Source organism: Homo sapiens, chromosome 5, assembly GCF_000001405.40.
Source record: "Homo sapiens chromosome 5, GRCh38.p14 Primary Assembly".
In the NCBI taxonomy this organism is placed as follows: Eukaryota; Metazoa; Chordata; class Mammalia; order Primates; family Hominidae; genus Homo; species Homo sapiens.
The window spans coordinates 107,718,932-107,734,606 of record NC_000005.10 but is presented as its reverse complement, the minus strand read 5'-3'; the positions used below and the strand labels follow the sequence as shown (position 1 = coordinate 107,734,606).

General features: G+C 39.8%; 1 pseudogene, besides 1 other annotated feature; it reads right to left on the bottom strand.

Annotated features, from left to right (window-relative positions):
• On the bottom strand, positions 7,481-9,787 carry LOC345576 (ubiquitin specific peptidase 7 (herpes virus-associated) pseudogene; annotated as a pseudogene).
• Positions 8,633-9,832: an enhancer, noted in NCBI's record as "CDK7 strongly-dependent group 2 enhancer chr5:107060476-107061675 (GRCh37/hg19 assembly coordinates)". NCBI's record gives its function as "activates an origin of replication core promoter dependent on BRD2, BRD4, P300/CBP, MED14 and CDK7 cofactors, with strong dependence on CDK7, by STARR-seq in HCT116 cells {active_cell/tissue: HCT116}" and the evidence as "EXISTENCE:reporter gene assay evidence [ECO:0000049][PMID:35650434]".

The following is a 15,675-nucleotide window of genomic DNA, read 5'->3' as shown; positions in this document are numbered from 1 at the left end:
GGATTTGTGTTATCAAAGACTTTTCATTTACCTGCATTTCATTTCCTGCCACATTCTGATCCCACCCATTTTCCCACCACAGGCTGATGGAAGTCTTATGGGAAAAACTACCACATTCCTAACCAAGAGGATATGTGGTTTCATACCATGATATGTTTGAATCTGAATTCTATTGGGTGAACATAGTACTGGAGGTTTGGTCAATGCAATCACATTGAAGTAAATAAAATTTGGAAGAGAAAATTTGCCATTGTTTGTAGGTTACATAATAATTTACTTAAAAACAGAAGCAAATCAACAAACTATTAAAAGTAATATGAGAGTTCAAGTCAGCAAGGTAGAGAAATAAAATATCATCAACCAAAGAGAAATAACATTTTTTACACTAGCACTAACCACTTAGAAAATACAATAGAAAATAAAGCACTATTTACAATAACACAAAGCTATGAACTTCCTAGGAAATAACCTAATGAAAATCTTTACAGGGGAAGTTTTAAGATTCAACTGAAAAAAGATAGATTTGAATAAATGGAAAGTTACACCATATAAATGGATGTGATTGTTTTACAATGTAAAGATGTAGACTTCTGCAAATTGATCTACAAATTCAATGCACTTCAATAAAAATTCCAGCAGAATATTTGCAGGGAACTGGATAAACTGATTCTAATTAATATGGAACTATAAATTAATTAATTAATATAGAACAACTAAGGCAATTTTGAAAAAGAAGGCAAATAAGAAAACTGCCCTAGCAGACACTAAGAAATACTACAGATATTATGACAAATTATACTAGTTAAAACAATATACTACTGGTGAAAGAACAAATGACAAATACAAAATAACAGAGTTACAAAACAGTTTCGTAGGGTTATACAGAGTTTCAGGGCAACCTTTGAAGCCTCAGGGCAGAAAAGTATGTCTTTAAGTAGAACCCCCAAGGCATAATCCATAAAGAGATAAGGACTGAGTTTGACTACATCAAAATAATTCAAGTTTCCTATTCCACAAGGAATACTACACACAACATTAATAAATGACTCGTAGACTGGGAGATCTTCACATAAATAACCGACAGAACATTAGTTTCTAGAATATCTAAGAAACTCTCAAAAATCTTCAAGGAAAGGACAGAAACCCAGCAGAAAATGAACAGAAAAAGGTATGAATAGGCAATTCATGAAACTCTAATGGTGAAAAACTGTTTGAAGAGATGCTTAGTCTCACTAATAATCAGATAAATACCAATTAAGACTATCAGGATATATCACTTGATACTATTCATATTGGCAAAATTCAAGCATTAAAGATATCATCAGCTGGCAAGAATATAGAGCTATAGGAACCCTCATGCAAACCAGGTGGGAGCATAATCTGGTACATAATCCATTTTGGATTGCAATTTTGCAGAATTTTTTTTTTTTTTGAGACAGAGTTTCGCTCTTGTTGCCCAGGCTGGGGTGCAATGGTGCTTTCTCAGCTCACTGCAACCTCTGCCTCCCAGGTTCAAGCGATTCTCCTGCCTCAGCCTCCCAAATAGCCGGAACTACAGGTGCGCACCACCATACCTGGCTGATTTTTTGTGTTTTTCATAGAGATGGGGTTTCACCACGTCGGCCAGGATGGTCTGGAACTCCTGACCTCATGTGATCTGCCCACCTCAGCCTCCCAGAGTGCTGGGATTACAGGCGTGAGCCACTGTGCCCAGCCAATTTTGCAGAATGTAATGGTACTAAGTATTCGTGTATCCAGTGATTCAGAGACTCTGCTCCTGGCACAACTATGTACAGAGAGACACACAAGGAGGTGCATTGCAGCATTGTTTTTGGTACGGTGAGTTGGAGGCAGTATGTGTGTCTTTCAGTAGGGGAATAGGAAAGTATAATAGAGTACTTGCCTAGGATGGAATAATATGCAGTAGTCAAAAGAAATTAATTAGATTGCCATATAGTAACATGGCTAGATCTCAAAAACATACTGCTGAGTGAAATAAAACAAATGAAACTTATAGCACACAATAATTGTGAAAATTCCTCCCCTCATTCACATATACCAAAGAATATTTTTACAAATACACATAGATACATCTTAACAAATTTACAGAAGGTAGTTTGGAAGAGCTGACATTGCAAACATAAGAATGAAGACTTGTGAGAAAATGGGGAATAGGATCAGAGATTTGGATGAAAGAGGAAAGTAAACTAACAGGAGTGGCCATGCACAGACTAATGAAGTGCTATGAACCAAAGAGCATGATTCACTCACTGCTATATAGGCAAGGACCAAAAAAATAAAAAATGAAGAGGGGCAGGGAAGGTTAAAAAAAGTGACTTCTTGAAGGATATCAAACCAGGATGTCTTTTTCCCTAAAAAATTTGAATGAGGCTTTATTATTTAGATTTTAGGCAAAAGCTATTTTTAAATGATCCATAAGAGGAAATATCATTTTGCTCTGAGGTCCTAAGTTTCGAACTGTCTATACATCAAAAGAAATCAACTTAATTTATAAAATATGCATCCTTTCTGTCCTTTCATATTTTTATCTATCTAGTTATAACCTAATGCCTAACTGTTTACATGGTGTCATGGTATATAAACCATTTTCATGTGAACTGTAACATTTGATCTTCACAAAAATTTATAAAGTAGATGACTTAGGTATTAGTTTCCCTTTACAAATGAAGGGATAACAGTTTATAAATGCTTACTGATTTACCAAAATCTTATTGGCAGGAAGGGCCAGAGCCAGGGACTGAATCTGATCATTTTACACAAAATTACACGAACTTTCTACTATATCCACTGTACATAGGTGAGTGTGTCCAATACACTATTTTCCTTAATAATTAGAGCATCTCTGGAAGGAAGGGACCATTGCAAAATGAAGAAACTGTAGCTCAGAAAATTTTACTCAAAATCAGGTAAATCATACCTGTAACCCTAGCAGTTTAGGAGGCTGAAGTGGGAGGATCAGTTTAGGCCAGGAGTTTGAGACCAGCCTGGGCAACATAGTGAGACCCTGTTTCAACAGAAACATCATAAAACTTAGCCAGGCATGGTGGCACACAAGAGTAGTCCTCGCTACTCAGGAGGCTGAGGCTGAGTCCAGGAGTTTGAGGTTACAGTGAACTATGATTGCACCACTGCTCCAGCCTGGGCAACACAGTGAGACTCTGTCTGTAAAGAAGATAAAATAAATAGACAATAAATTTTAAAAAATGGGCAAATAACAAGTGCACCCTGCTTCTGTGCCTTAATCAACAAAAGGCCAACACTGAAACAACATCTATCCAACACTTTCTAAGAAGTGGAATTTTTTTTTTTCTTTTTTGAGATGGAGTCAAATTCCGTCACCCAGGCTGGAGTGCAGTGGTGTGATCTTGGGTCACTGCAACCTCCGCCTCCCAGGTTCAAGCAATTCTCCTGCCTCACCCTCCTGAGTAGCTGGGATTACAGGCACGTGCTGCCACACCCGGCTAATTTTTGTACTTTTATTAGAGATGGGGTTTCACTGGGTTGGCCAGGCTGGTCTTGAACTCCTGGCCTCAGGTGATCTGCCCACCTCAGCCTTCCAAAGTGCTGGGATTGAGGGCGTGAGCCTGTAGGATTCTTAAAAATAGTAAGCCAATGCTGGAAAATTCAGTAGCAGTTCTGCTCTGAGGACTATTTTTTCCTGTTGAGCTCTGCAGAGGCTCCTGCAGTCTCCAAAACTCAGCTTTGATTTGCAGGGAAATGCTGCCAGCAGTGGAGCCAGACTCAACAGCATGCCATCTTCATGTCCATGTATTAAAAGCTAGAGATCAGGGTAATGGTTCCCCTGTATTATGATTGACCACATTTGATAGACAGGCATGATGTAAGGAGAATATGTCCTAGTTCCTCTGTACAGACAACATCCCTCCCAGGATAAACAAAATCCTCTGACTAGTTCTTAACTTTTCAAACTCTCTTGGAACATCTGTAATCAAACTCAGGAACTGTGGTTCTCAATCCTGGTTGGACTTAAGAAGCACCTGAGGAACTTAAACAATGATGTCTGAGCCAATTAAGTCAGAAACCCGGAGAGTAGAACTCACATACAAGAATTTTGTTTAAAAACTTCCTAGATGGTGATGAAAATGTTCTGGAATTATACAGTGGTGATGGTTGCATAATTTTGTGAATAAAAAGAACCACTGACTTTAAAAAAGTATGCATGTTAACAGGGTAAGTGTTATGGTATGTCAATTACATCTCAATTAAAAAAAAAAAAACACTTTTCCGGGTAACTCTAATGTAAAGCTTGGGCTAAGAACCACTATGACACTAGGCAGTATCCCAATCAGGCCTGCACATTAGAAACTATAAAGGAACTTTAAAAAATATTGAAGTTTAGTCATGAGCACCATAGATTCTAATGTTATTGGTCTGGGTTATGATTTGGACATCAGGTGTTTTAAAACCTCCCAGGCAACTGTAATGTGCAGCCAAGGTAGAGACCATTGGTCCAGAATGGTGGTCCTCAATGGGTGCCCCCTGATGAGCAGCATCAGCATTACCTAGGAATTGTTAGACATGCATGTTCTCAGCCCTACCTCAGACCTGCTGAATCAGTAGGGCCCAGCAATCCATCTTAACAAGCCCTCCAGGTGGGTCTGATGTACACCAGTTTGAGAACCACCACTTTAGCACATAGGAAAATTACCTTCCAACCCAGTGGTTATTCTTAAATTTCCCTAATCCCTAAGAATGTGTGCAGGGTCTGTCCCATACCTAGAAAGAATTTCATACTTAGCACTATGCTAGGCAATAGAGACTGAGGAGCCAGCTGGAGATCCACCCAAGTGGAACAAATTAGTGAGAGAAAAATATGTAAGATGCTGGGTTATATACATTTCTTCTATACATAAGACTGTTGATTTTAGCTCTCACTCAAAATCCTTGAAATTATAATTACAAAATACTACCTATGTGGTCTGTTATTTCTTTACTTCCTGCATTTTCAAACTCCAAATGCATTTTGTAATCTCAAATCCTTCCTTAACCTTATCCTGTTGAGCCAATGATTTTGTTTTTTTCTTGGTTTTTGATCAATAAATGATTCTTCTTTTCCCTTTCTGCAGCCATTTGAAAATGTTATTGGAATATCTATCACATTTTAGAGAATATATTGTTTAGAAGTTTGTCTTCTAAAAGTTTGTAGTGAAAAGACTAAATTTAAATATATTCTGAAGATTTTGAGATGATTTTTTATATGCTAGCTTACAGTTATGAGGTAGTTACTGCATCATTAGCTATGGACTCTTAATGAAACGGGGTTTCCTAGATTTTCAGCATCTATGGGGTTATCCCTTAACAATATTGATCTAAAATTAGGCTGTGAAGGAATGGCTGGATTATTTGTCCTATGCTAAGGCACTTTGATATAACTAAATTGCTAATAATTATTCCCCCCAGCACTAATTACTCTGAAACTACCCCTACAAATAGATGACTCAAACCAATGTTAAGCTTAATTTATTTGAGAGCATTATTATATTACACACACATATATGTCTTCAGGTTCATTAACACAGATGACACAGCAATATTTCTGGGGCCTGAATTTTGACTATCTTTTTATCAGAATAGAGATATAAGCTGCAAAACCAGGATTTATTTCTTTGAAATAGTGAGTTAAATTTGGCTTCCAAGGTCTGTCAGCATCAGAATATAGCTTTGTGTACCTTTATCTCCTATTCTTTTGCAACTAAGAGGACTTAAACTCATTCTGCCAGAGGTATGCCTCACCCCTTGAGCACTACCCATTCCCAGTAGGGCCCTGCTGTGGTACCCTATCACTATGGTGACATTCAGACATCCCTCAAGGGGCCTGAGCAGGTGAGTCAAAGTAGGGAGCTCATTATCCCTACAGAGTCAGAAGAGAGAGTGAGGCATAGAAAAATAGTTGGCAATCATGGAAGATAGGTAAAAGAGAGTTATTAGGACCATTTGTGGGAATTCTTTGGAGAGTAGACAATTAAGTAAAATCAGAGAAGAATGGGGTTGGAAATAATTGGAGGTAAGGTCGACAAGTTTGGTATGAAGGAAGTGCTCTCTCTCTAGTGGAGAATGAAGTCTTGAAAGATTGGATGGTCATTTCTAGAAATATGTTGGGAGTTACTTTTTTAACTTACATGTGAAAAATATCTCAGTGAGTTGTTAGACTCTTTCGGCCTTGCAGACCCTGGCAAGTCCTTTTAACGATGCTCCCTCACTGGTTCCCAGGACTTCCCAAGTCTTGAGAATCGATTTCTTATGGAGTTTGTTGTTCAAATCTTATTGGTAACATTTCAAAAAATTGCAATCATGCAAAGTGACTGATCCATTATCTTTCACTCATAACATAGCAATAATCATCCAAAGTAGATAATTATATCATTATTTGGAACATGATCTCTGAATAGAGCAGGTGCAGTTAGAAGGGGGCACAGATTAGTGTAACAGCAGAAGATCTGCTCAGGGATCAACATTAAAAAGAAAAAAATGCCTACTTCATAAATATTAGCACCTGCAGATAATCAGAAAAATATAGCCAATTACATCCATTATGCTCTATTTCTCTTCTGGTACTCACATTATTTCTTCTGTAATGAAAAAAAATTTGTTTTGGTTTATATAACCAATCTAAACACAATGTATTATGTATTAGCATTAACGGGAAATTACATATACTTTTATTTTCATGCTAGCCTAAATAAAAGAGATTAATGAAATAACTATTAGGACATATTCTTTTTAAAGCCTCAATGGAAATACCCAAAAGCTATATTTTAACACAGGTAAAAAAATATTTTTCTCTCTAGAAATCTAAACATCAGAGAGGATTATATAAAACTATGAAATTGAAATCTTCTGTTACAATGGAAAATGGTGTGTATTAACTCTCAACTACCATGAGAGAAAGAGGGTTTTTCTGTATTTCTGCCACGAAGAAAAGCATTGACCAAGGTTCATAAAATGAGACCCAAGTGGTGTTAATGATTCTAAAAGCAACTGAATAAAACAATTTTTCTCTAGTTTTCATAGTTTAATGTCTAAGGAAGTTCTAAATGTGAGTGTGAAAATTGGCTTATGTTTTCTGACCCTACTTTAAAAAAATAAACATTATTTTTAGAGTGGTTTTAGGTTCACAGAAAAATGGATGCAAAGTACAGCGAGTTCCCATATAGCCCCTCTCCCTACACACGCACAACCTCCCCTACTATGAAACCAAATCAGAGTGATACATTTGTTACAACTAATGAACCTACACTGACACATCACTGCCACCCCAAATCCATAGTTTACATTAAGGTTAACTCTCGGTGTTGTACATTCTATGGGTTTTCACAAATGTATAACGACATATGCCCATCATTATAGTATCATAAAGAATAGCTTCACGGCCTTAACAATTCTCTGTTCTTTACCTTTTCATTTCTCCCTCCTGTCCAACCTGTGGCAACCTGATCTTTTTATTGTTATCATTTTCAGGGTCATCTTTCTGAAATACTATGATGTCACCATCCATTAGTTCATCAAGGGCTTTTTCAAGAGACACGTCTTAGTCCTGAATTCTCTCTGTTAAATTCAGTTTAACTTCCTCATAGAGGATAAGGCTAGTATCTTGAATAAATCCTGCTCTGTTACACATAACTGGGAGCAAGTCACGTATTTCACAGGATATTGGTGTGTAGATATGCCCACAGTAATTCAAGCTCCGCATTTTGGGATCATACATCTTCAAAAAAAACATTACATCATGAGCTTTATCAAACTTGGGTAAGGTCACTCCACTAGCAGCCAGCTCGAGATCGACTGTTTCCAGGAATATTGTCCAAGAGTTTTCATTATCACTGACCTCAATCATTGCTTTATTGCCATCAGCTTCATTATCTAACATTGCTGGCCGTTTTGTTCCATTACTCCTTGCTTGCATGGGCCACAATTGAATTTGATCTTGTGGAAATTCCATGATCTGAGAGAGGTTCTGAACAAACTCAGCAAGTGAGGAGTTCTTCAATACTTTGAACACAGTATATTTCACTTTTTCTTCATCGTACATGTCATTTCCCTGGTGGCCACAAAACTGGTCCTCTGAGGCTACCTGCGCTTGCATATAGAGATGGACTTCCTGCCATTCTGTCCACCTTCTGAGCGTTGATCCTTTTCTCTTCTTAGAGTCGTTCCACCAACTGGAATATCATGGTTGGTGACTACCTGTAAAACTTCCACTCAGTTTTGATTCCCTGATATAGGCTAACACGTAAGCATTAGTGCAGCGTCGGACAGACAGGTTGTCATCGTGACCCCCATAATTGTGCTCAATTACTTCCTTTCTAGTACACCTTGACACCACATCATCATCAAATTTACACCATTTGCCATCCCCTTTGGGGTTTAGATAAACCACATAATGTCTACCATGATTATCTCTACTATGAACCAGGACTGCATGAAGAATATAATTTGCAGGGTCCTTAGGATCTGTTTTTTTTCAAAAATTCATCAAATGGTAACTGCTTTGGGAATTCACACTTATCATTGATCTTGATATTTTGGTTCGTCTGAGGGTCATACATAAATCTCATCAGTTGTAGATGTAACACTGGTGGTGATGTTAGAAATTTCACCTTTCTCTGCTTCCTGTGAGCCATGTTCCCCAGCTTCCTATTTATTGTCCCCACTGAGCTGTTCTTCTGCCATATAATTCACAAATGATTCAAATATATTTTTATTTCCTTCGATACTTAGCTGGATATCATAATAATCTTCTCTTCTATCAGACCGATAGTCTACTTCTTTACGCTGGATATAGGACACCATTTTGCCTCAGAATCATCTGGGTATGGTGCCCTCTACACAGGTGCCTTTCACCTTCTTTTCCACATTATCAAGCAACACTCCACAAAGCTGCTGAACATCGTGTTGCATGAAGCTGTCTAAAATTTCCCACCCAAATGACTTTGTTAGCTTTTTTTTCCTACGGGTTTATCACTGCGCTGTAGTTCATAGAACACTCTTTGTAATGCTTAAGGGACGCTTTTAGACGAATCATCCCCCTCGGTTTGCATCATGTACACAGACTTTCGTAGCTGATTTGTGAAAAAGAACGTCTGTAGCAGGCTGTTTATGTAACAAATCGCTCTCTGATTCTTCAAGCCAACACAGCCTGTGTGCTTCTTTGAATCCCACGCAACTTCATCGGGAGCATCCGCCTGTACAAAGACTTCAATGGCTAAACTTTGTCATCTTCTATAAATCCTTTCTCAGGATCAGTCACTTCACTCCAGGCCATAAAATTGGAAAATCCCCAATCGTTTTCTTTATGGAAGAACAAATGACTAATACGACGACTGAACGATTTTCCGTCATCTCCATAATTTATTATCTTCAGCATCGCTTGTGCATGACAAGTCCGTGACGTGGAGTCAGATTCAGCATTGCTCTGGAGAAAGAATCCTACACTTTTTTGGTGTGGTCTCTCTGGATAAAAGCGTGGCACACCATAATCTTCCATGGCAGATTTCGCACAAAACACGGAGGACTAATGACCGACTCACTCAGTCTGCTGAAGAGCTCCACAGTGAACTGAAAGGTCGCCTCGGAGCGCTAACTGGTTTCGTCCTCCATGCCCTCCTCCTTGTTGTTGTGTCCATCACGCAGGGCCACGTTCCCATTGATCACAGCGTTCTGAGTAATTCTTCATGGGTCATCTGTATCTCCAGCTTCCATCTCCACGTCCTCGGGCTCGCTCAGCTGCTGCTTGCCCACTTTCTGCTGCTGCTGCTGCTGCTGGTTCATGCTGGCCGCCGCCGCCGGGGGCCGGGGCTGCGGGCAGGTGGGCGGGAGGCGGCAGCGGTGGCGGGGCGGCCTCCTCCTCCTCCTCCCGCGCGTCATCGGCAGCAATTTTATTGATCTTTTCAAAGAACCAACTTTCGGTTTTGTTGGTTTTCTCTGTTGATTTTCTGTTTTCAATTTCATTGATTTTGACTCTAATTCTTACTAGTTTTTCTCTTCTGCTTACTTTGGATTTTATTTGCTCTTCTTTTGCTAATTTTCCAAGGTAGAAACTTAGATTATTCATTTTGAATCTTTCATCTTTTCTAATATCTACCTTTAATGCTATAAATTTCCCTCTACACACGACTTCCACCACATTCCACAAATTTTGATAAGTTGTGCTTTTGTTTTCATTTAATTTAATATATTTTTAAATTTCTCTTGAGATTTCTTCTTGACCCATGTGTTATGTGGAAATATGTGATTTAATCTTCATGTATTTTCAGATTTTTCAGTTATCTTTCGGTTATTAATTTCTAACTAAGTTTCCTTATGGTCTGAGAGCAGACATTGTATGATTTCCACTTTTTTTTTTTTTTTTTTTCTGAGACGGTGTCTCGCTCTGTTGCCCAGGCTGGAGTGCCGTAGTGGCTCGATCTGGGCTCACTGCAAGTTCTGCCTCCTGGGTTCACGCCTATCTCCTGCCTTAGCCTCCCGAGTAGCTGGGACTACAGGTGCCCTCCACCACACCCAGCTAATTTTTTTTGTATCTTTAGTAGAGACAGGGTTTCGCCGTGTTAGCCAGGATGGTCTCGATCTCCTGACCTCGTGATCCACCAGTCTTGGCCTCCCAAAGTGCTGGGATTACAGGCGTGAGCCACCGCACCCAGCCCATTTTTTTTTTTAAGTTGTATTTATGTCACAGAATGTGGTCTATCTTGGTGAATGTTCCATGTGCTCTTGGAATAAATGTGTATTCTGTTGTTGACGTGGTTGATAGATGTCAATTATATCCCGTTGATTGATGGCGGTATTGAGTTCAACTGCATGTCCTCAATGATTTTTTTGCCTGCTGAATTTGTTTATTTCTGGTAAGGTGGTGTTGAAGTCTCCAATTATAATAGTGGATTCATCTATTTCTCTTCACAGTTCTACTAGTTTTTGCCTCACATAGCTTGATACTCTTTTTAGGTCCATATACATTAAGGATTGTTATGTCATCTTGAAATCTGTACCTGTTTATCTTTTTTAATGCCTCTATTCTTGATACCATTGTTTGTTGTGAAGTCTGCTCTGTCTGAAACTAATATAATTACTGCTGCTTTCTTTTGATCATTGTTAGCCTGATATATTCTCCTGCATCATTTATTTTTAATCCGTATTTATCTTTATATTTAAAGTGGGTTTCTTATGAACAACATATAGTTGGGTCATGATTTTTAATCCGTTCTGACAATCTCTCTCTTTTAATTGCTGTATTTGGACCATTGATGTTTGAAATGATTATTGATATATTAAATTAATGTCTATCATATTTGATATACTTTCTGTTTGTTGTCCTCATTTGTTTCTTTTTAATTTAACTTAATTTGAAGTTCACAGGATGTGCAGGTTTGTTACATAGATAAATGTGTGCCATGGTGGTTTGCCACACCCATCAACCCAACACTTAGGTGTTTAGCCCCGCATGCATTAGCTATTTATCCTGATGGTCTCACTCCCTCTGATCCCCTGACAGGTCCCAGTGTGTGTTGTTTCTCTCCCTGTGTCCATGTGTTGAGCTTTTTGATGTGCTGCTGGATTCAGTTTGTCAGTATTTTATTGAGGATTTTTGCATCAATGTTCATCAGGGATATTGGCCTGAAGTTTCTATTTTGTCGTATCTCTGCCAGGTTTTGGTATCAGGATGATGCCGCCCTTATAAAATGAGTTAGGGAGGAGTCCCTCCTTCTCAATTGTTTGGAATAGGTTAAGAAGAAATGGTACCAGCTCCTCTCTGTACCTCTGGTAGAATTCATTTGTAAATCCATCTGGTCCTCGGCTTTCTTTTGGTTGGTAGGCTATTTATTACTGCCTCAATTTCAGAACTTGTTATTGGTCTATTCAGACTCCCACACAATAATTCTTCCTGGTTTAGTCTTGGGAGGGTGTATGTGTGCAGGAATTTATCCATTTCTTTTAGATCTCCTAGTTTACTTGCATAGAGGTGTTTATAGTATTCTCTGATGGTTGTTTGCCTTTCTGTAGAGTCAGTGGTGATACTCCCTTTATCATTTCTTATTGTGCCTATTTGATTCTTCTCTCTTTTCTTTATTATTCTAGCTAGCAGTCTATCTATTTTATTAATTTTTCAAAAAAATAGCTCCTGGATTTGTTGATTTTTTGAAGGGTTTTTCATGTCTCTATCACCTTTAGTTCCACTCTGATCTTGGTTATTTATTGTCTTCTGCTAGCTTTGGGATTTGTTTGCTCTTGGTTCTCTTGTTCTTTTAGTTGTGGTGTTAGGGTGATGATTTGAGATCTTTCTACATTTTTGGTGTGGGCATTTAGTGCTATAAATGTCCCTCTTAACAATGCTTTAGTGCAGCTAAAATAGTGCATCCCAGAGATTCTGGTATGTTGTCTCTTTGTTCTCACTGGTTTCAAAGAACCTCTTGATTTCTGCCTTAATTTCATTATTTACCCAGGAGTCATTCAGGAGAAGGTTATTCAATTTCCATGTAATTGTGTGGTTTTGAGTGAGTTTCTTAATCTTGAGTTCTACTTTGATTGCACTGTGGTCTGAGAGACTGTTTGTTATGATTTCAGTTCTTTTGCATTTGCTGAGGAGTATTTTATTTCCAATTGTGTGATTGATTTTAGAGTAAGTGCCAGGTGGTGCTGAGAAGAAAGTATGTTCTGTTGTTTTTGAGTGAAGAGTTCTGTAGATATCTATCAGGTCCACTTGATCCAGAGCTGAGTTCAAGTCCTGAATATCCTTGTTAATTTTTTGTCTTGATGATCTGTCTAATATTGACAGTGGGGTGTTAAATTCTCCCACTATTATTGTGTGGTAGTCTAAGTCTCATTGTAGGTCTCTAAGAACTTGTTTTATGAATCTGGGTTCTCCTGTATTGGGAGCATATATGTTTAGGATAGTTAGCTCTTCTTGTTCAATTGAACCCTTTGCCATTATGTAATGCTCTTCTTTGCCTTTTTTGATGTTTGTTGGCTTATTAAAGTCTCCTTTGTCAGAAACTAGGATTGCAACCCCTGCTTTTTTCTGCTTTCCATTTGCTTGGTAAATTTTCCTCCATTTCTTTATTTTGAGCCTATATGTGTCTTTGCATGTGAGAGGGGTCTCTTGAAAACAGCACACCAATGGGTCTTGACTCTTTATTCAGCTTCCCATTCTGTGTCTTTTAATTGGGGCATTTAGTCCATTTACATTTGAGGTTAATATTTTTATGTGTGAATTTGATCCTGTCATCATGATGCTAGCTGGTTATTTTGCAGACTTGTTAGTGTAGTTGCTTCATGGTGTCATTGGTCTTTGTACTTCAGTGTGTTTTTGTAGTGGCTGGTACCAGAATTTCCTTTACATATTTAGTGCTTCCTTCAGGAGTTTTTGCAGGGCAGCTTGGTGGTGACAAATTCCCTCAGCATTTGCTTGTCTGGAAAGGATTTTATTTCTCTTTCACTTATGAAGCTTAGTTTGGCCAGATATGAAATTTTTGGCTGGAAATTCTTTAAGAATGTTGAATATTAGCCCCCAATCTCTTCTGGCATGTAGGGTTTCTGCTGAGAGGTCTGCTGTTAGTCTGATGGGCTTCCTTTTGTAGGTACCTGGCCTTTCTCTCTGGCTGCCTTAACATTTTTTTCCTTCATTTCAACCTTAAAAAATCTGATGATTATGTGTCTTGGGGTTGATCTTCCCATCAAGTATCTTACTGGGGTTCTCTGGATTTCCTGAATTGGAATGTTGGCCTGTCTTGCTAGGTTGGGGCATTTCTCCTGGATAATATCCTGAAGTATGTTTTCCAACTTGGTTCTGTTCTCTCCATCTCTTTCAGATACCCCAATCATCCATAGGTTCAGTCTTGTTACATAATCCCATAGTTCTTGGAGGTATTATTCTTTCCTTTTTATTTTTTTTAATCTAATCTTGTCTGTCTTATTTCAGCAAGAGAGTCTTAAAGCTCTGAAATTCTTTCCTCCACTTGGTCTATTCAGTTATTGATACTTGTGGTTGCATTGTTAAGTTCTTGTGTTGTATTTTTCAGCTCCATCAGATCATTTATGCTCCTCTCTGAACTGGTTATTCTGGTTAGCAGCTCCAGTAATGTTTTATCATGGTTCTTAGCTTCTTTACATTGGGTTGGAACATGCTTCTTTAGCTCAGCAAAACTGGTTATTACTCACCTTCTGAAGCCTACTTCTATCAATTCATCCATCTCATCCTCTGCCCAGTTCTGTGCCCTTGCTGGAGAGGTATTGCAATCATTTGGAGGAGAAGAGGCATTCTGGCTTTTTGAGTTTTCAGTGTTTTATCATTGATTCTTTCTCATCTTTGTGAGTTTATCTAGCTTTGATCTTTGGGGTAGCTGATCTTTGGATGGGGTCTTGGTGGGGACTTTTCTGTTGATGTTGTTGTTGTTGCTTTCTGTTTGTTTGTTTTTCTTTTAACAGTCAGGCCCCTCTTCTGTAGGGCTGCTGCAGTTTGCTGGGGGTGCACTCCAGACCCTATTCATCTGGGTCCCTCCTGTCACCAGTGGAGGCTGCAGAACAGCAAATATGGCTGCCTGCTCCTTCCTCTGGGAGCTCTGTCCTAGAGGGGCACTGGCCTGATGCCAGTGGAAATGTTCCTGTATGTGTCTGGTGACCCTTGTTGGGAGAGTGTCACCCAGTGAGGAGGCATGGGATCAGGGACCTGCTTAATGAAGCACTCTGGCTGCGGGTTGGTGGAGGGGGTGCATTGCACTGGGCGGTGGGGAGCTCACTCGTCTGAAATGCCTGGATTCTTCAGAGCCAGCAAGGGGAAAGCTTAAGTCCACTGATCTGCAGCCACTGCAGCCCTGGCTGGGGTTGCTGAAATTCCCAAAGGGAGGCCCTGCGTGGTGAGAAGGGATGGGTCAGGGTCTAGCCTAAAGAGGCTGTCTGGCCATAATCTGTCACAGCCACTGTGCTGCGCTGTGGGGAATTCCTCCTGGGTCCAAAGTGCCCAGTCTCCCTGGCACTGGCAAGGGAAAACTGACAGACTGGAGCTGCAGTGATAGCTGATGCCCCCCTCGCCAGGTGCTCAGTCTTCTTAGGCAGCAGGCAGCTGCAGTGATAATGGTTGCCCCTCCACCTGGGAACTTGGTTATGTTAGGCAGCCAGCAGCTGCTGTGATGGCTGCCACCCCTCCCTCTGGGAGCATAGTCATCTTAGGCAGCAGGCAGCTGCAGGGAAAGTGGCCGCCCCCCACCACCCGAACTCGGTCATCTTAGGCAGTCTCCAGCTGAGTGGCTGCCAAGAATCTGCACAGCTCTGTGCTTGGGACCCAAGGCTCTGGTGGTGTGGCTCATGAGGGGGATCTCGTGATACTCAGGATGCACAGATCCGTGTACAGAGTGTGGTTTCCTGGGTGGGGTAGCAAAATCACTCACCACCTCCTCTGGCTAGGGGTGAGCCCTGTGCAGTTCCCTGGTAGGCTGTTACTCCATCCTGCTTTTCCTTACTCTCCATGGGTCACACCAACTGCCTAGTCAGTCCCAGTGAGAGAACCTGGATACCTCAGTTGCTGGTGCACAATTCACTTGCCATTTACCTTCTTCTCTGTGGGAGCCTCCCACAGCTATTTCTAGTTGGCCATCTTGGCCCCTCTCCAAGTTATTTTGCCCTTATTTTTTGTTTTTATTTTTGCGT